Below are 21,216 nucleotides of genomic sequence, written 5' to 3'. Positions count from 1 at the left end.
TGAGAAACCCAAACCCTGATCTCCTCTTTTGATGATTTTACAAAAATCAAATTGCATGACAGATGCCCAGATAAACAGAAGTTTGCAATCAAAGCAAGTTCTGGGATGGAGCTGATTAGTAGATTTTTAATGGCTATTAGCTTGATAATCACGCACCAGGAATAGCTCCCAGGCAGACCAAACCCACGTATAAGTGGATCCACACCCATGTACACAACACCTAGTTGGCAGGTATATAAGGGGACCCTGAAAGCCTCCCAGCAGCACAGTTGAGTCTCCAGCCTTGACTCTTCTCAAGAGCCTGTGACTTTCCTCCCTGGACAAAGGCATCATGAGTTGTCAGATCTCTTGCAAATCTCGAGGAAGAGGAGGAGGTGGAGGAGGATTCCGGGGCTTCAGCAGCGGCTCAGCTGTGGTGTCTGGTGGAAGCCGGAGATCAACTTCCAGCTTCTCCTGCTTGAGCCGCCATGGTGGTGGTGGCGGGGGCTTCGGTGGAGGCGGCTTTGGCAGTCGGAGTCTTGTTGGCCTTGGAGGGACCAAGAGCATCTCCATTAGTGTGGCTGGAGGAGGTGGTGGCTTTGGCGCCGCTGGTGGATTTGGTGGCAGAGGAGGTGGTTTTGGAGGCGGCAGCAGCTTTGGAGGTGGCAGCGGCTTCAGTGGTGGTGGTTTCGGTGGAGGCGGCTTTGGTGGAGGCCGCTTTGGAGGTTTTGGGGGCCCTGGTGGTGTTGGAGGTTTAGGGGGTCCTGGTGGCTTTGGGCCTGGAGGATACCCTGGTGGCATCCACGAAGTCTCTGTCAACCAGAGCCTCCTGCAGCCTCTCAACGTGAAAGTTGACCCAGAGATCCAGAATGTGAAGGCCCAAGAGCGTGAGCAGATCAAAACTCTCAACAACAAATTTGCCTCCTTCATTGACAAGGTGACTCTGGAGAAGACGGCTCCCACTGATGCTCAGGCCACTTCACTTCCAGAGCCAACCAAAAAGAAAATGGCACAGATTTGTATTTCTTAGGAGCCAGTGGTGTACCGCAGTAGCCTGGGTCATTTGCGGTTTCCAGATGGAAAAGACGCCAGCTTTGTGGGTTACATTTCCCATAACAGCCTGCACTTAGGAAGCATTTGTCCCTTTGACCTTATTGTTACAGTCCATATAAATAATATTTATGGAAAATTCTGAAAACCATAAAAAATGGATATAGGCAAGTATTGAACTGATCCTTGGGACAGGCCACTGGAGCAGCAGGTTTTGGAAGCCATCGTCTTCTGAGATAGTGTTTCCTTCCTTAGCAGTGATTACTAAACTCTGGGAAGCTGAACCTGAAATATCTGCTTGGGAATGCAGGAAATTCCTGCCTTCAAGAGAAGCGTTCTCAGTTTTGTGATCCATAAAGTCTTTATTGGTGTCACTTCGGAGTGTTACTGGCTTTTCTCCTATTTCAAGGCAGACGAACCTGTCTTGGTTTATCTGCCTTGAAATAGGCAGGGATTTACAAGGCTCTTAAAAATCAGGCTGAGGAGCCCTGCCCTCTGGGACTCTCATACTCAGCACCCTTGCGAGCAGTGCCAGCAGATGGCTGCTTTCGGTTTTCCCCAGAATTTATGGGATCTTGGCTGGAAATTCAACCAGGATGCGGGGAGGGAAATGGTCTAGAGTATTGGGAGCAGCTGCAAACAAACCAGTGAGCAGTGAAGCAGCAAAGAGTCTCCTCTGCGTGGAGAGAGCCGGATGTAGCATTAGGAGTCTGTGGGACTTTCCAGGGGCGAAAGCAGGGAGCTCAGAAGCTCTGCCAGTCATGACTCGGCATCCAGCCTCAGACACTTCTCGAGGTCCTGAAGCAGCACCTGAGCTGCCCCTGGCCAGCGTGGCTTGCTTGGTGTGAAGGATGATCTAGAACTCATGTGCTCTCCTTCTGGTCATGGCAGGTGCGGTTCTTGGAGCAGCAGAACCAGGTGTTACAGACCAAATGGGAGCTGCTACAACAAATGAATGTTGGCACCCGCCCCATCAACCTGGAGCCCATCTTCCAGGGGTATATCGACAGCCTCAAGAGATATCTGGATGGGCTCACTGCAGAAAGAACATCACAGAATTCAGAGCTGAATAACATGCAGGATCTTGTGGAGGATTATAAGAAGAAGTAGGTGGCAGAGTGAAACGCTGAGTGGAGATAAACATTGCACTGAGCCATTTGATCACTCCCTGGAAAGCCATTCATCTCCCAGTTGCATTTGTGGTGGTAATGGGGAGAGGCATATGTATCTTTGTTGATTATTTGTGAGGAAGACAGTGAGACTTTAGAGATCATTTTTGTCTTTTGTATGTTTGAGAGTTAGTTTATAAAAATATATCTTTAGTTTGGAAATCTTAGTTTCAATTTAGATATTTAAAAAGTGTGTAATATTCCCAGAGAATGGGGCATTTGGGGTGAATCCAGTATAAAAGGAAAAGAAAAAAAATGAAGGGGAACTAATCTAACTGCTGTAACATCTGTGTCCCAATAGGTATGAGGATGAAATCAATAAGCGCACAGCTGCTGAGAATGATTTTGTGACGCTTAAAAAGGTGAGCGAGAGAATGTCTTGGCTGGGGGTGGGGATAGGAGTGCTTCACAGCCCCATTGTGTCTAAGCAGCCAGTTTGGAAATCAACTGTGAGTGCAAAAGCAGCAGCCAGAGAAAGGAGTGAGACCCATGGCACATTCTCTTGCAAACAAAATTGTCTCTGTAGGTCAAGCTTCTGGATACAGTTTTCAAAGCTGTTCTGCATTTTTGGTAGAGTGCTTCCCAGTAGTAACCCACTTAAAGCCTCTACTGAATCATGATAAATGCAAACACAAAAATCTCTTTGTATTCTCCTTCTAAAGAGCTGAGGAAGGAATGGGACTTCCCTTAGAATGCCTGCTTAAAGTTGCTGTTGGTTGTGCTGACAAAGGTTTGAGGTTGTAGGCCAAAAGCAAGGGTTCTCCTGCTGGGTCCTGCAGGGCCTTTGGTGTATATTCTGGGGAAATTTCGGAGAGGTGAGATGGACAGACGGGATGAGAGAGCTGAGGACTGTGGAAACCCACAAAGAACATCGTATCCTGTTGTAGAAACACACAGTGTCTCAAGCAGGAGAGAGGGGCTGGTTGGCAAAGCTTGGTCATCTCGAGGCTCTGATGGTCCTGAGGGCTGTGAGCCATGGACGTAGGCATGAAGTCCCTGGCAGAGGTGTATGGTAAACTGCACGACAAAAGAAGTCCCATGGGGACAGGGATCAGGTTGGGGAGCCTGGGATTTTAGAGAGGAGCCAGCAGGGACTGAGTAGAGGGGAGTGGCAGAGAGAGGAAGAGGCCTGTACAGGGAACCATACACCAGAGGCCTCAACCTTTCTTGCAGGACGTGGACAATGCCTACATGATAAAGGTGGAGTTGCAGTCCAAGGTGGACCTGCTGAACCAGGAAATTGAGTTTCTGAAAGTTCTCTATGATGCGGTAAGGAGGCTGCTCCGGGACAGTCCCTTACTTCCCACCCTTCTCACCAAATGAAAGTCCTTTCTGCTTGGTGAAAAAGTGGCAGAAGTGGGGTTTATGGACCAGCTGACTTCAATCTGCCATCATTCCAGGCCACTGGGGGGGCTTTCATAGCATAGGTCTTGTGGGTGAGGAATTTTCTCCTCCGATGTTATGGGAATAAGGTTCAGGAAACACCAGGACAGCTTCCCCTCCCTCCATTCCCCAGATGTCCATTTCCCCTGGGGAAGAGACAAGCCCTGTGCCCATTCCTGTGCCTACTGTACTTCAGAGGTCAAAATGCATTTGTCTCCTATCCCCCTCCCCAACCCAAGGGTGCACAGATGATTTCTGAAACAGGAAGTCCATTTAAGGTATTTGCCATGGACAAGCTTCTGTCTGGGGGCACTTACCATAACTGGCTTAAGTGCTGAATGTTAACTAGGAGGCTCAGAAATACAGGTGCCTCTCACTACAATTCTCAGGACAACCTTGGGAGAGGCCCAGGAGTAGACGGTTACATGATTTTCATCCCACCTAGTGTATGCTTAGTCTGAGGGTCTGCGTTTCCCTTATGCTGGGAGACAGAGGCCTCCTGTCTGCCTGTAGCTATGGCAGGATGTCATGACCAGACCTTCCTGTGTGTTGTAGGAGATATCCCAGATACATCAGAGTGTCACTGACACCAACGTCATCCTCTCCATGGACAACAGCCGCAACCTGGACTTGGATAGCATCATCGCCGAGGTCAAGGCCCAGTATGAGGAGATCGCCCAGAGGAGCAAGGAAGAAGCGGAGGCCCTGTACCACAGCAAGGCAAGTAGAGGGAATGTAGGAAGAGCCACAGCTCCCTGCCATGAGCTGGGTTGCACCCCCAGCTGGAAAGTGTACAGTAAGGTTATTGGTTTTTTGTTTAATGGTAGTTGGGCACCATTCCCAAGAAAGGATGTTGAGAATGGCACCAAGTCCTTTTGGGCATGTGAGACAGTCCCTACCTCTCATGAATGCAGCCATGACATTTAGCTGGGTTGACCCTCCCTGGACCAGTAACCAGCTCTCCTTCACTCCAGTCAGTCTGGAATGTGAGCCAGGCTGGAACTTCCTTGCAAACTGTCCTCTTCTCCCCATATCAGTATGAGGAGCTCCAGGTGACTGTCGGGAGACATGGAGACAGCCTGAAAGAGATCAAGATAGAGATCAGCGAGCTGAACCGCGTGATCCAGAGGCTGCAGGGGGAGATCGCACATGTGAAGAAGCAGGTGAGGCCCAGCCCTGTCCAGCGAGGGGCGGGAGGTTGTCTCTGGGTGTGCGTGAGAGTGTGGTTGTGTGTGAGTGTGCATGTGAGAGATGAGAGACACTGAGATATTGCACTCTAGCATGTATCGATCCCAAATTCCCCAGCTTAACATAATTTATGGCTTATTATAACAATTCTTAGAGTGCTCTAATAGACATTCCAAAGTAAGGATTATCGAAGGGAAAGAATTGTGCTCACTTGTTTATATGAGGAAAAGGGAGTCATAACAAATAGAGCAAACGTTAGTTTGATTGATTTGCTGCAGATTGCCGATGGAGCTTCCCGTTTGTGCTCAGCACAGGCCCTGAGCACCAGCCGACTGGTTTCATAGAGGGGCAGTGAGTATTGAGGGCAGCTGGCCTGGGGCTGGACGTTAGCTTTGGAATAGAAAAGGTAGAGGCAGAGAGTGGATTCCATCAGCAGCAGAAGCTTTGCCAAGCAGACCATTTCAAATGTTTTCATTTCCATCTGTAAAATGGGATCATGATTCAGGCCCTGTGATGTGAGGATCAAAGGGCACTATGGGGAAAGCCAAAGGGTGTCATCAACGGTGACATGGGAAGAAGATGTGCCAGAGACAGCGGCAAGTCTTAGCACAGTTGTTTGCGACTAAACTCCAGAGGGGACCTAACACTCCCAGGGCCAGTGGTTCTGGCTTCCTGCACTTCGAACACCTCTGCTCTCTGTCCGCCTCCGTCAGGCAGAATCCATTCTCTGTCCTTCTGTCATAGTGTAAGAATGTGCAAGATGCCATCGCAGATGCCGAGCAGCGTGGGGAGCATGCCCTCAAGGATGCCAGGAACAAGTTGAATGACCTGGAGGAGGCCCTGCAGCAGGCCAAGGAGGACTTGGCGCGGCTGCTGCGTGACTACCAGGAGCTGATGAACGTGAAGCTGGCCCTAGATGTGGAGATCGCCACCTACCGCAAACTGCTGGAGGGCGAGGAGTGCAGGTGAGGGCACTGGGAAGGGAGAAGGGGACCCTGGCCCTTCCTCTCATCTCTCCCAGAGCCAGGGCTGGAGGCAAAGACAGGGAAAGCAGAGAATGGGGCAGGCCCTCCTGACAACTGAGAACTGACATTCTCTGTGTTCCCCAAGCAGAAACTCAGGACATAAAGCATGATTGGAGAGTTACACATTTATCAACATGAAATGATGCATAAGGCACATTAAATTAAACTAAGCAGTAAGTTAAACATCCTGGTCTTTTCTGAAAGAGAAAACAAAATCATGGGAAAACAGGTTAGTCCTAGACAGTCTGAAACTTTGGTCTCTAGGTCCATAGGGTGAGTGGCTTCTGTGCCCTCCACCGGGTGACCCAGAATGGGGGAGATGATGTCTCGGAATGTGCTGACTGGTGGGGACGTGCTGACCGGAGCAGGTGCCAGCCCCAGTTCTTTGCAGGTTTCTGGAGTGACAAATGGAACCATTTGCTAACTTTCAAAGAGGCACCCTTTGCTTCCTCTGTAGTCTGAGACCTTTGTCCGTATTATCAGCATCTTGGGTGACTTAATCTGGCTGAAGCAATTGGAAGGGGAAAAGCTACCCCAGGCCATCAGCAAGCCAGCATGACAAACAGGGAGTGGCTTTCTTCAGGAGGTTGCTCTGTCCCTGTCTAGAGGCAATGCCTCCTATGCCCAGCTTGTAAGAGGAAGTGGGAAAGTTTTCAGTTGAAGCTGAAGAGGGTGGGAAGAAGAGAGGAATGGGGAGGCTCTACAGAGTCACAGTTCTTTCTGAACTGAATGTTCACAGGCAGCCTCATTGTATAATTTCTGATGTGGCATGGATTCTGAATAACAGACTCTCCAAGATGGATTTAAATACACAAATGGGTTGCAAAGTAGGAAGTGAATTTGCTTTTCAGTGACCTTGGATCAACCACGCAACTGTTCATTTTTTATCAGAGCAAAAATTGAGAGGGATTGACATGCAAGGTTGTGCATAAATGGAAGGGGGTCTGTCGTCATTGTGTGACCTGGCAGCATAGAAGAAAGTGGGGTGTGTAAGCCCTGGTGGCTGCTTAGAGAGGCTAAACTGCACATTTGCGGGTGGAAGTGGTAAAACAACATGCATACAGAACCTAAGTGTTCCACCACAACTTGTTTTTTCTCTCTCCCTTACAGGATGTCTGGAGACCTCAGCAGCAATGTGACTGTGTGTAAGTAATGGGGTGTGGTCCTGTTCCATGGGGTGTTGTGTCAGGTGGAGGCAGGGAGAGGCAGTCATAATCTCTGTGGTAACACCACCTCTCTCTGCAGCTGTGACAAGCAGCACCATTTCATCAAATGTGGCATCCAAGGCTGCCTTTGGAGGTTCTGGAGGTAGAGGGTCCAGTTCCGGAGGAGGATACAGCTCTGGAAGCAGCAGTTATGGCTCTGGAGGCCGACAGTCTGGCTCCAGAGGCGGTAGTGGAGGAGGAGGTTCTATCTCTGGAGGAGGATATGGCTCTGGCGGTGGTTCTGGAGGAAGATACGGATCTGGTGGTGGCTCTAAGGGAGGGTCCATCTCTGGAGGAGGATATGGCTCTGGAGGTGGAAAACACAGCTCTGGAGGTGGCTCTAGAGGAGGCTCCAGCTCTGGAGGAGGATATGGCTCTGGAGGTGGGGGTTCTAGCTCTGTAAAGGGTAGCTCAGGTGAAGCTTTTGGTTCCAGCGTGACCTTCTCTTTTAGATAAAGATGAGCCCCCACCACCACCGACTCTCCCAACCCAGACTCTCCCACTCCAGAATGTAGAAGCCTGTCTCTGTACCTCTAACTGGCAGCAAGTTAAATTTTTGTCATTTATCTCTGATGGCACTTTGAGGGAAAAGAATGTCCACATACAGTTTTTGAAAGATCTTCTCTCCAAACCAGTTAGTTAGAGCCAGTGACGCCTCTGTGTTCTGGGGCGGAATCTGTGCTGTCTAGGTTTGTGCTTCTAGCCATGCCCATTCCCGCCCCCACCATGCCTCTTTGCATTGCCCATTTTCCAGATGTGTATTCTGTTGAGGACCCAGGCCCATCCAGGGATTTCATCTCTAAGCCTGGCAGTGCTGGGGGGAAATGTGTTTCTGTGTATATAGCTCCTCTTGTCCACTCTGCTTTCGGAAGTGCTGTGGTCTGGGGGTCTTCATAATAAACCTCATTTGCAATTCATATCATGTGCTGTCTGCGTGATGTCAAACCTTGGTGGAAGTGGGCAGCCATGGACAAGGGAGGTTTGGGCATTAAGGAGGGGCTCCTGGGTGAGGAGCGTGCCTCCCTGAGGGAAGCCCAGGCGCCAGCCTCTGGATGAATGGGAGCCTGGGGATGGGTGTGTGGTTCTCAGAAAGTATTTACCAGACTTGAGGGCCATGGCATTGCCGGGAGGTGGACAGGTAGATTTGTGGAAGAGTCTCTTTTCTAGAAAAACCCATTCTTCCTGAGCATTTCCCACAGACTGCCCTCTCCCTTTTCCACAAAGGCTTTGGCCCGGGATCACTTCTCCTCAGGGCAAAACCGCTGAGCCCCTGGCACCATCGTGGTGAGTTTCCAAGCTCCGAGCTTCCAAGGCAGACCTTCCTCAGCCTGATGTAGGTCCTGGCCTCTGTCTCTGCGGGGGCTCTGAGCAAGCCTGGAGGAGGATACCTGGGAAGAGTCTGGAGGACTCTAAAGTGGCCTCCAAAACAGCCACTTCTATTTTCACAGGACACCCCTCCTGTCAGCGGAGTCCCACCACACTCAGCAAACAAGCCCTTCTCTCCTCTCTCACCGCAGCCCCCGGGGCCTGTCGCATGGATGTTGCCATCAGGTTGGCCTTCTCCTGTGGGTGTGAAGATGCCTTCAGCCCCTTCCTCAGGAAGGCCATGTCACCTGAGCAGGGCTTCCAGGGAGTTCAGGAATGGTTGGGCAGGTGGGATTGGGCATGCTTGGGGTTGGTGTTAGACAGGCCAGAGTTGCCCAAATGGGAGTTGGTGGCTCAGGCTAGGTCAGCTTAGCTTTCTGTATGTGGCGTTTGGTTATAGTAGCTGTGGCTTAAAGCCACTCAGAACCACTCCTGGAGGGTCCTTTTTTCTCCCACTCCACCCCAGCTTTAAAACCTTGGAGAGTCCTTAGTTGAGTCTGTGACCGTCTTCCTGTTCCCAGAGGTTGCAGGGACGGCTCTAATAGAGAACAGATGCATTCACTTGCCTCCAGACCAGCCAGGACCCAGGTATGAGGGTGCTGCAGGAACAGCTCTGAAGGCTGCAGGTGGCAAGGTGGCAAGACTCCAGGCTGAGCATTCTAAAGTGATCCGCTGATCAGAGAAGGTCCCTGAGAACCACCCAGGCCTCAGTCGTGGGGAGAGGTCTGTGGGGAGAGGGTGCAGGTTGGGAAGAAGTGGTGTGAGGAGCTGGCTGTTTTCGGGTATGTACATAGTGTAGACATGAACACAACCTTTAACAGGGACTTGGTCCCAGACATTTGAGGCTGGACAGGAGCTTTGGTAATCAGTGTATTTGAACTTTTCACTTAGGTGAGGAAAAAGGTAAGGCCCAGGGTGGACACAGAAACCAGGTCTCCCACTCCCAATTTATTCATTTTTTAAAAGGCTTTGGGAATAGCAATCCATTCTAATAACTTTCTGAGGGGAAAAGAGGTGAGGCAGGTAAGGTGGCAGATTTATTCCCAGGGGAGCCTTAATTCTATTTTTTTTTTTTTTGAGATGGAGTCTCACTCTGTTGCCCAGGCTGGAGTGCAGTGGCATGATCTCAGCTCACTGCAAACTCCGCCTCCCGGCTCAAGTGATTCTCATGCCTCAGCCTCCCGAGTAGCTGGGATTACAGACATGCACCACCATGCCTATCTAATTTTTGTATTTTTGGTAGAGACGGCGTTTTACCATGTTGCCCAGGCTGGTCTCGAATTCCTGACCTCAAGTGATCTGCCTGCCTCAGCCTTCCAAAGTGCTGGGATCACAGGCGTGAGCCACTGCACCCGGCCTTAATTCTTGAGACTTTCAGTGGTCTGAACCTCTAGCTCCTTCTATCGTTTCCAGTTCCCCATCCCTTCCCCACCTGAGACACAGCCCTTCTGGTTTCCAGATCATATATATGCTACTTTCTTGCTGGACTCCAGTAGTAAAATTAGCCTTGTACATTAACTCAGAGGGACCCAGGCCTGAGGCGTGACAGAAATCAAGCTCTAAGCAGGTATTGGAGAGAGGGGCTACCTCTGGAGAGGGACCCTCCTTTCCCTCCGAAGTGTAGAGTAGCCCAGAATCTGGGCCACACCCTCCCACCAGGGCCCTCTGCTGCTCCTCCACCAAATTTGGTAATTGACTTGTCAGGTCCTGGGCTTCAAAAAGGAGACAGGCACAGGCAGAAGGGTTTTACGAGCTCGATTTCCATAGGGAACTGGGTTAAACATTTCCGTTCTGATGATGTTGCAGAATATTTGGGACATCCTCCCTCTTGTGGTTCCCTCCCTTTCTCTGCCTGTGAGTTTTAGTATGAATTCAAATAAACCCTTTTTCTCTTCCTCACCAAATTCTTTCTTTCCTGTCATTTGAAAGGAAATTCCTTTGGACATTTCACCTCCTTCAGGACAGCTCACCTCCTCCAGGAAGCCCACCTAAATGGAACACTCCTGCCTCCTTTTCTTGCTGTGAAGTGGGGAAGGAGTGCCCTGGGAGTGAGGAGACTTCAATGCTGATCCTCATCTTTGTGGGAACTGTTGCGTGACACTGGGCAAGTCCTTTCTCCTCTCTTGGCTCAATTTCTGCCTCACTTTAAGGACTTTCAGTGGCCAAGATTGTTTCTACAGATCCTTCCAGCTCTGATGAAAAGAACCCTGTCTGTGCTACCGGGTCAGCCAGTGCTTACTCCTAAAGCCTTTCAGCCCAACAGGGGATTTGGGACACTGTCAGGATATCCAGAGAGACCCTTTGTGAATAGGTGTGAGCATGTGAAGCTCAAAGTGGTTTTCATTCTAGTTCAGTAAATGCCTGTTGGACAATGACTGTGGGCAAGGTTGTGCATGTGGCTACGTGGGCGTATCAAGACTTATAAGACAGTGCGTCCTGTCAGGGATTTATGGTCTAGTAGGGGAAGAATGAGAAATTTGCAAACAGCTATTAACATAAGGCAGAATGTAGTAGTGTGCATTAATTTCATTAAGCGGCCCTTACTAAAAATACATATTCTTTGTTCCAGCATCCCCTCCTTCTCCCTGAGTTTCCACTACAGAGGAGTCTAGAAATCTGCATTTTTAACAACCTCCTAGGTGATTCTGATGCTGGTGACACAAGGGCCATGGTTTGGAAAGCACTGATGGACATGCTAAGGGAGCGGGCTCTGGGGTGGGCTCAGTTGCTGGCACCTTGGAATTTAGTAGGCACTAAATGAAAAGTTGATGATCAGATAAAAGAATGTGTGACCCTGGGCAAGTTATTTAACAACTCTGAGCCTTTCTTTACTCATTTGTAAACAGGTAGCAACAACAGCTTCCTCAGAGGATTGCTGGAGGTTTACACACTGAAATCAATGATAAATGTTTATTCTGTAGGACCTGTGCCATCATAAGCATGCAGTACTGTAGGTTACATTATTATTATTATTGTAAGTTACAGGCAGTATTTTGGGACCGGAGAAGACCTCATGGATGAGATAACTTTATATCCAGGCACTGGCAGATAGGTGGGATTAATTAAAGAGTAATAACAATTCTGCACGAACTGTTTCAGAAGATGGAAGAAGAAACACCTTCCATCTTGTTTTATAAGGCCAGCATTAATGGAAGAAACTAAAGAACAAATCCCTCATGGATATATATATATATATATATATATATATATATATATATATTCAAAAATTATCAGCAAGATATGAGCAAATTCAATCTAGAAAGATATAAAAAGGATAATACATCATGACCATGTGTTTAAAAATATTGTTTAAAAATAGTGAGGTATATGTTTAAAATGTATCCCAGAAATAAAAAGCTTGCTCAACATTCAAAGAATTAATGTATTCACCATATTGACATAGAAGAAAAAAACATAAGACTGTATCAATAGATACAAAACATTTGACAAAATTCAACACCCTCCATGGTAAAAACAAACAAACAAACAAAAACAACAACAACAACAACAGATTCTTAAACTAGGAGTAGAAGGGAACTTCGTTAGCCTGATAAAGGGCATCTGTAAAAACCCATGGCTAACATACTTAATGGTGAAAGTCAATGCTTTTCCCACAAGCATTTCTTGGGAACAAGCAAGCGTATTTGCTGTCACTACTCCTATTCAGCATCGTACTGGGATTCCTAAATAGTGCAATAATGCAAGAAAAATAAATAAAATCCTACAGATAGGAAGAAAGAAATAAAACTGATTTATTAATATATGATGTGATTGCATATGTAGAAAATCCAAAGGTATCTTATTAGTCAACATATTTCTGTATTGAGAAAATCTTGATTTATACAGATAGATGGGTGTAAATGGTAATGATATTTGTAACTAATTAGACTTGAAATTTCTGATTACTTTCCATTGAAAGATAGATGGCAGGGGAAGCTGTAGTTCAAAGTGCAGAACGCTGAGTTAATCTAATGCATTGTTGAACTCCAGTAAATTAAAATTTACTACAGATCACATTCGAATGTGCATGCTGTTTATTTTAAAGTCAACTTTAATGAGGATTCACTTATAAATAAGAAAATGCATTGTATTACATTTTAAGCATATACCTCAATATTTTTAAACAAATGTATACATCCTTATAACCTCTATCACAATACTTATATAGAAGATTTCCACTACTCCAATGAGTTACCCTATGCCCCCAGCCAACTTTTGATCTCCTTGTCGATACCACTGACTGGTTTTGCCTATTCTAGGATTTCTTAGGGTTGATGTACCTCCTCTCCAACACTGGGCATTGCCAGTCTTTTTCATTCTACAGGGTGTGCATGTTATCTCTTTGTAGTTTTAATGGCATTTTCCTGATGACTTGTGATGTGCAGTGTCTTTTTTTGGTTCTTATTGGGCGTTTGTACATGTTTTAGGAAAGGTCTGTCCAAATCTTGTGAAAGTTTTTATTGGGCAGTTTGACATACATAGTTGCAGGAGTTCTTTATATACTCTGGATAACAGTCATTTGTCAGGTATATGTATTGTCAATATTTTCACTCAGTGTGTGGATTTTCTTGTCATTTTCTTAATGGCATCTTACAAGCAGCAGAATTTTCTAATATTGATTAATTCTAATTTATCAAATTTTCTTTATAGTTTGGACTTTTGGTGTCTTAAGAAATCTTTGCTTACCTAATGGTCACAAACATTTTCTCCTACAATACAAACTTTTATCCTAGAAGTTTTATAATTCTAGTGTTTACATTGTCTATACCCCATTTTAAGTGGCCATTGGGGTATGGTCTAAGGTAAGGGTCCAAGTTCATTTTATTCCCCCAAGTAAATATCCAGTTGTTTGGGCACCAGTTGTTCAAAAGACTATTGTTTACTTGTTGAACTACCTTGGCAACTTTGTCAAATATCAATGGAGACATATGTGTGGGTCTGTTTTTGGATTCTTTATTCTGTTGATTAATGTATCTGTGAAACACTTCTAACATACAGTATTGATATGGTGGCTTGAATCAGTCTTGAAATAAGCTAGTATAATACCTCTGATTTTCTTATTCTTTTAAAAAATTATATGGGATTGAATTTTTGAATTTGAGTATAAAGTTTAGTATCAGCTTGTAAGTTTCTATCAGGAAATACTGCTGGGTTTTAATTGAAATGATGTTGAATCAATAGGTCAGTTTGGGGAGAATTGGCATTTTAAGTATCTTGAGTCTTTCAGTCTATGAACATAGTACCTCTCTCCATTGCTTTAGGTCTTCTTTAATTTTTCTCATCAGTGTGTCACAGTTTTCAGCGTACAGGTCTTACATATGTTTTGTTAAATTTATCTCTAAGTATTTCATGTTTTCATGCTATTACAAGTGGTATTTAAAAATTTTAATTTGTTATTTGCTCCTTGCTCATATATGGAAGCACAGTTTTAAAAACTGGCCTTGTTTCTTGTGAGCATGCTAAATTCATTTGTCACTTCTACTAGTTATTTTGTAGATTCCTTAGGATTCTGTATGTACATAATTATGTTGTCTATGAATAAAGATGATTTTGACTTCTCCTCTCCAAACTGTTTGCTATTGTTTATTTCCCCTCATTGGTCTGGCTAGGATCTTCAGAGCAATATTGAATGGGGGCAGCAAGAGTTGCCATCCTTCCCTTTTCCCTAATCTTGGAGGGAAACGTTTATTTTTCTTCACCATTGTCTATAATATTAAATGTAAGCATTTTTAAAATTTGTTTGTTTGGTTAGATGGGCAAGTTCAGGAAGTTTCCCTATACTCCCAGTGTACTGGGTGTTTTTATCTTGAGTGAACATTGATTTTTTTCAAATACTTTTCAACATTCAGATGATCATATAACTTTTCTCCCTCATTCTGTTAATATAGTGAATTTCATTGATTAATTTTCAAATGTTAAATTAATCTTGTATTCCTGGAATAAACTCCATTTGGTCATGCTATATTATTATTATTATTATTATTATTTATTTATTTTTTTTGAGATGAAGTCTTGCTCTGTTGTCATGCTGGAGTACAGTGGCACAATCTTGGCTCACTGCAACCTCCGCCTCCCAGGTTCAAGTGATTCTCTTACTTCAGCTTCTTGAGTAACTGGGACTACAGGCATGTGCCACCATGCCCAGCTAATTTTTGTATTTTTATTAGAGAAGAGGTTTCATCATATTGGCCAGGATGGTCTCGATCTCTTGATTTCGTGATCTGTCTGCCTCGGCCTCCCAAATATTAACCTTTTTATACATTGCTGGATTCAACTTGCCATTTCATTAAATATTTTTTTATCTGTCTGGAGGAAGGAACATCTTTGTCTAATAGTCACGAATGCACTCTATAGGCTAGCAGTAGCCCTGAGACGAGACAGAGTGACAAAGTGTGAAAAGAATGAACTTTTACACTGTGCTCTTATACTGTGTTCTATTGTTTGAGTTTTTGTACAAAGCATGTATTTCTTTTACAAAAACTAAAAAGATTTATTTTTTTCAAGTAGCCATCGTGGCAGAGCATTAGAAGCAACCACAGGTTTCTGTTCAGGGTCTTAAGGAAAATGAAGCCAGCAGCCTGCTGAAACAGCTGGGGCCGGAGTGTGCACAGGAGAGGGTTCCAGGACGCACGGGGAGGCTGGGAGCAGAGAGAGGGCTTGGGGACTCCTTATAGCAGACTTTTGCTTTGCCTATTTAGACTGGAAATTTCCTAAGAGATAGAAGAACACTTTCTCAAGTTCATGACCTTGACAGAAGTTTATCTGGGGTCAAATATGCAGAGTACTCAAGAAAAATTATCAGAAATTTTTAAGAAGGTGATGACTTTCACTAGAATCCCAGAATTGCCTGAAAAGGAGGAGAAAAGAAATAGTGGAGACTGTACAATTATATTCTGTCTCGGCCTGGGCACCCACCCTCCTCCTGTCACTTTTGTCATAGTTAATCTCGTTAGCCTTGGCCTGTCCTGTCACCTTGGTCTCACTCTCCCCCTTCTGGTTTTCTGTGACCCCTGCTAAGACCTCTTTCTCAACTCTCTTTAGTGGGGCTAGTGAGGCTCCCACCTCATCCCTGATAAGACTGCCCTCTCCCTGCTTCCTCTCTTCCCCTGAAACCTGCTCAAAGTGCACTACCTCCAAGCAGGGGTCCCAATTCATGTCTCCTCAGCATTTATGGGCCCAACTCAATATTTCTGTATTGAGCTCTTGAATCAGTTGGCCTTGGTTCAAATCCTGTTTCTAATTCTTAACTAGTTGCGTCATTTGGGCAAAGTGCTTCATCTTTTAAACCTCAGTTTTCACTACTAAAAAAATGAAGATAATAACAGTGGCTGCCTCATAGTACTGTTGTGGAGATTAAAGGAGATTATCTTTGTAAAGCACTTACAGTTGTGAAACACAATAATCGGGCAATACATGATACCCGTGCTGTTGCTGTTGCTGTTGCTGCTGCTGGGAAAAGATGTGGACTTAAACATTTATCTTTGTAAAATTTCAGTGGTAAAAACTAACATTTATTTCCACTGCCCCCCCACCCCCGCCAACCCCGAACAGTTTGTATAACACCTTGGTTATGTAGCAAGGACAGGTGTCATTATCACCACATTTGACAGATAGCAAAGCTAAGGCTGAAAAGTCCACAATCACAAAACTAGGAAGTGGTAGAGCTGGCATTGGAAACCACGGCTATGGCTCTTGCATTTCACATCATTTCCACCACATATCCTACCACGTGTTCTTCCTTTGCCTGACTCTCTCCCCAGTGGCCGGGTTAGGGGCACTCAGACAGTGGGTGGGACCGCAGGGTAGGGCCTGGCTAAGCAGGAAGGGTACAGGATCATAGCATGGGGAAGACACCTCTGCTTCTCACCTGGATCCAGAGAAGGAGACTAGCTGAGAGGGGCTGTTGGGCCCTGCCAGGCACGCGTGTCATCTCACAGGTGACTTTACAGGTATGCGGACTCAGGGGAAAGAAGAGAAGGAGGGGCCCAAGACAAGAGTAAGTCTGCACTTCTCTGACCTGGATAAAACATATACAAAGAGAATCCTGAGCCCAGAATATTCTCTCAGGCAGCTGGCCAAATAGTTATGGAGTGACCGAAAGAAGGACCCAATGTTCTTGGCCTGCTTGAATGTTAAAAAAAAAAAAAAATTTATTTCCATAGGTTTTTGAGGAACAGGTGGTATTTGCTTACACGAATAAGTTCTTTAGTGGTTATTTGTGAGATATTGGTGCACCCATCACCCAAGCAGTATACACTGAACCTGATTTGTAGTCCTTTATCCCTCACCCCCTTCACACCCTTTCCCCCTGGGTCCCCAAATTCTGTGTGTCATTCTTATGCCTTTGCATCCTCACAGCTTAGCTCCCACTTCTGAGTGAGAACATACAATGTTTGGTTTTCCATTCCTGAGTTACTTCACTTAGAATAGTAGTCTCCAGTCCCATCCTGCAAATGTTGTCAATTCATTCCTTTTTGTGGCTGAGTAGTATTCCAATATATATATATATATCACAGTTTCTAAAAGAAGACCTGCTTCACCTCCCCATAGAGGAGTTTGAAGCCTTATGGGGCTTGATTGCTTCTGTTGTAAAAATTATACCTGCTTATTATTTTAATCTTGGAAAAATAGAAATATAGAAAATTTAAAAAATTCACCACTACACAAAACAACTACTGTTAACACTTTGATGTATTTTCTTTTTGAACATGCTTTTCTAAAGTATTTAGCTTTAGTCAGTTAAACAATATTTCTCTGCTCATCCTATACCTCCAGTCTTATCCTAGGCCTTCTTTTCTGTGCCTAGGATTTAGTGGTCATATTGATTATTCAATTTTGATTTTTCCTTTTCCCACTTAACATTAAAACAGAATTTTTTGGTTTGCATAAGCCCAGTAATTTTTATTAGTTATGTAATATTTCATTGGTGGACACAGTTAACTCCTAATCCCTTTTTTGGACACTTGTTTTGGGAAAATATATACAGGATACTGTGTATATTTTTGGTAGGGAGGTGGAAGTAACTCTCACCAACTGTAGAAAATTCCATTTAGTATGTGTCTCTAAATCACTTTCCTTTACAGATATCAGTTTCTAATTCATCAGTGTCTCTGTCCTAAAGCTTTAGGAAGATGTATCTCTGGTTTTAATATCACTCTGGTAGAAACTAAAAGTGCTGAAATAGCAACAATCTCAGAAAATACCCGACCTGATAGCTTTTTGGGCATAATCATACACACCTCATATTGCCTAGGTCAGCAGATAGTTGACAGGTAGACCATAATAAGAAAACCCTGCTAACTAAGCAATAGTTACTAGACTGACTGTTCCCAAGTAGAAGGCTGTATTTATTTTTTTGTCACTTTTAGTGTCAGGGTAGCCAAACCCATGAATTTGTCTTTGGCCCACTGCCAGCTCCAGGAGAGGTATAAGGTGACACCTCAGCATTCTGGCAGGGAAACATGGAGACACCTTCTTCCCACCTCTCTATGTCACTCACTGCCTTGGAGTCACTGTGAGCAGGCAGGTGTATGCTTGAGGTGCCAGAGCACAGGCTTTGGTAGTGGCTGGGTCATGCTGCTGGGAGGGTGCCAGAGACGAGCAGCACAGCCTTGGCAGAGGCTGCCACTCTTGTGGAACAGCACAGAGGGGCACGAAGCCAAGGCTATGCTGAGCCAGGCGGTTATAGCAGCTGGAGTCTCGTTAGCCCTGCGGGGAGAAAGAGCATCTCCATCATCATGGCTGGAGGCCGGGACCATGGAGGCAGACAAAGGAGCTATGGAGGTGGACAGTTTGGGGTGGGAAGCCTAGCAAGGAGGGCTTTGGTCTTGACAGTGGTTTTGGGGAGCATGGGTCTGTAGGTTCTCTGGTCTGCCCTGGAGGCATCCAGGAAGTTGTGATAAACCAAAGCTTGTTGGAGTCTCTGGATGTGATGATTGACACTGAGGTCTAGGAGGTAAAGTAGTAGGAGCAGGAGCAGATCAAGAAACTCAACAAGTTTTCCTTCTTCATTGACAAAGTGAGTGCCCATGCTTGGAGGTTAGAAAGCCGGAGCTGGATAACTTGAGGGACGTTCGGAAAAGGCCTGTTTGCCGTGATGGAAATGTAGCCTGTGGCTACGGTATTGGACAGTGCAGGTCCAGATTATCTGAGGCCAACCACTTTAGTCCCTATCTCTAGAAACTGGCCCTGGTGAAAGGCGCACACTTTGTTTTTCATGTTCTCCAAGCCTCCCCCAGGAGACTGTGTCTGAGCCTCAGCAAATAATAGGGTTAAACTACTTCTGTCACAGCCTGTGGGAATTAATGCCACACTGGAATCACTTGTCACTCTTGCCAGGCCAGCAGGGACTTCTGAAGTCCTCTATGGCTGTCCTCTGGGGCTGAGCCTTTCAAGTTCCTATTTCCAGGTACAGTTCCTGGAGCAGCAGAACCAGGTGTTGCAAACCAACTGGGAGCTGCTGTGGCAGCTGGATGGCAGCTGGATGGCAGCTAGATGGCAGCTACTGCTGCACCACTAGCCCAGAGCTCATCTTCGAGGGCTACATCAGCAACCTCAGGAAGCAGGTGGCCCAGGTCATGGCAGAGAAAACCAGGCAGGAAGTAGAGCTCAAGAACACTCAGGACTCGATGGAGAAATACAAGAGGAAGTGAGTGAGCCTGAGGTTGGTAGGACAGCTGGTATTCGGTCCCAGATCTCGGTCTGAAAGAAGTGCAATGGCAGAGAATTAGCCTCTCCAGCCAGGAATCCTTGGGATATCTTTCTGTTTGTTTTCTTTTTGTGAATCTATTTCTTGTGGATGTGCATTCAGGGGTGTAAGAAATACAGGGAAAAGGGACTATCTGCAGACATAACAATCTTCTTTTTTTTTTTTTGAGACAGAGTCTTGCTATATCCCCCAGGCTAGAATGCAGTGGCACGATTTTGGCTCACTGCAACCCCTGCCTCCCCAATTCAAGAGATTCTCCTGCCTCAGCCTCCGGAGTAGCTGGGATTACAGGCACTTGCCACTATGCCTGGCTAATTTTTGTATTTTTAGTACAGACAGGGTTTCGTCATGTTGGCCAAGTTGGTCTCGATCTCCTGACCTCAGGTGATCTGCCGCCTTGGCCTCCCAAAGTGTTGGGATTACAGGCATGAGACACCGTGCCCAGCCAACAGTCTTCTTGTCTACTAAATCCCACCAGATATGAAGCAGAAATCAACAACTGGACAAATGCTGAAAATGACTTTGTGGTGCTGAGAGGCAGCTGGATTTACCACACTCCTGTTCTTAATCCTAGCATCTTAATTCACTCTGCTCTGCACTGGGCTTGGTTTCCTCAGCTATAAATAATCCCTGAGCCCAGTTAACCTCCAAGTCAGCAGCGGCTAAGTGCAAGCCTGTGAGAAACAATGAGAATGAAGGCCTCTCCTTTTATTCTGGCTTAAAGTCCTGTTTTCTTAAGGCTATCACTGTTCAGGCTGCAAACCCACTCTGCTGGTTTTGAGACGGGAACTGACCTTCCCTCTGTGCTTGCCCTGTCCATGCTACTCTCCCTCTGGCATCCTGACAGTGCATGTAGAAGTCTCCCAGACCAACCTGAAGGGGCCCATTGCCTCCTTTCTTTCAGGATGTCGACAGCACCTGCTTGGTCCAGGTTGACCCCAGTGCTAAGGCGGATGTCTGAAGCAGGAGGTTTAATTCTTCCAAGCCTTCTATGCTGCCGTAAGTCTGGGGTCCAAGCTCCCTGGGGGCCTGGGATGCTTGGAGAACTGAAGAAGGAGAAAGCTTGATGTAGCTCTGAGAGCCCCAAAAGGTGAGAGACTGTTTCCTGAGGAGTAACCCTTGCCCTGCTGCATAGGAGCTGGCCCAGGTGCAGCAGACCATCAGTGACACTAGCGTGGGGCCCTCCATGGACAGCAACAAGCACCTGGACCTGTCCGCATCCTCTCTGAGGTCAAGGTGCAGTGAAAGGAGATTATTTGAAGGTGCAAGGTTGAGGCTGAGGCCGAGGCCCTGTACCAGACCAAGGTGAGGACCCAGAGAAGTGTTCTGCATTGGGTTGTGCCCAGGGAAGTTGAAGGATCCCCTCCCTCCACCAACAGGGGTTTGTGAAGCAGGCTCACTGTCCAGAGGTTACTAACTTGTCTGAGTCCAGCGAGGCAGACCACACTCACATGCAACAAGTTACAGGAAAAATATTTATTGCTTCCAGACAGCAAAGAACAACAGAAGCCCAGGATTCATGTTGAGTGGGTCCCCAAAGCCTAGAAAAGCTGCCCAGAGTGGATGGAGTCATGTATCCCACTTACACTACAGCTAAGGAACCCTGAAAAGCAGCCTGCCCAGAGTCTTATACCCCAAGGGAATGTGATGTGCTGGGCTAAAGCATTGAAGGACACTGTGTTTCTAGGGGAAACCAGAACAGCACCCCAGCTGCTCTGACCCCTTTATCTCAGCATGCTGCATTCCCAGAACATCCTGCAGTTATTCTTGAGAACTACAAGTGAGAGAGCAGGGAGGACTGGGTCGGTCCAAGGTCACCCAGAGAAGTATCCTGCATGCAGGGTTGACCTGCTCCATTCGCCCTGTGGCTGGAAGGGTTGCCTAACCTCATACATCTGGTGAAAGGCTTCGGCTAGGCCACTGGAAGTTACTGGGGCTCTGGCTTCCTGGGGTCTTGCTGGTCCTGGGTCAGGGGAGCCGTCTCAACTCTGCAGACTCAGGTGCATTGAGAAACACCAAGCAGCCTTCACACCAGTGCAGTCAGCTCCTCATTCCACACATTGTGCTGGCCAATATTTCAACTCAGGCTGGCTTCCTTCTGCCTCCACTGGCTCCCCAATGCCTTCCCACCTCCACAGTGCATG

The 21,216-nt window shown here is 46.3% G+C and overlaps 1 protein-coding gene and 1 pseudogene across 1 annotated transcript; both read left to right on the top strand.

Annotated features, from left to right (window-relative positions):
- KRT2 (keratin 2) lies at positions 263-7,916 on the top strand. The gene is made up of 9 exons (NM_000423.3): positions 263-916; positions 1,921-2,135; positions 2,500-2,560; positions 3,372-3,467; positions 4,137-4,301; positions 4,619-4,744; positions 5,514-5,734; positions 6,905-6,939; positions 7,040-7,916. The coding sequence occupies exons 1-9, from the start codon at positions 332-334 to the stop codon at positions 7,453-7,455; spliced, it is 1,920 nt and encodes a 639-aa protein (NP_000414.2). The 5' UTR covers positions 263-331; the 3' UTR covers positions 7,456-7,916.
- KRT128P (keratin 128, pseudogene) lies at positions 18,018-19,608 on the top strand (annotated as a pseudogene).

This window comes from Homo sapiens, chromosome 12, assembly GCF_000001405.40.
Source record: "Homo sapiens chromosome 12, GRCh38.p14 Primary Assembly".
NCBI classification, from domain to species: Eukaryota; Metazoa; Chordata; class Mammalia; order Primates; family Hominidae; genus Homo; species Homo sapiens.
The sequence above is the reverse complement of the archived record's forward strand: the minus strand, read 5'-3'. Positions and strand labels throughout refer to the sequence as shown.

Coding starts and splice junctions, on each gene's coding strand:
- KRT2 (NM_000423.3), top strand. CDS start 332: ATGAGTTGTCAGATCTCTTGCAAATCTCGAGGAAGAGGAGGAGGTGGA. Junction 2,561..3,371: donor ATTTTGTGACGCTTAAAAAG/GTGAGCGAGAGA, acceptor CCTTTCTTGCAG/GACGTGGACAATGCCTACAT. Junction 4,745..5,513: donor TCGCACATGTGAAGAAGCAG/GTGAGGCCCAGC, acceptor CTTCTGTCATAG/TGTAAGAATGTGCAAGATGC.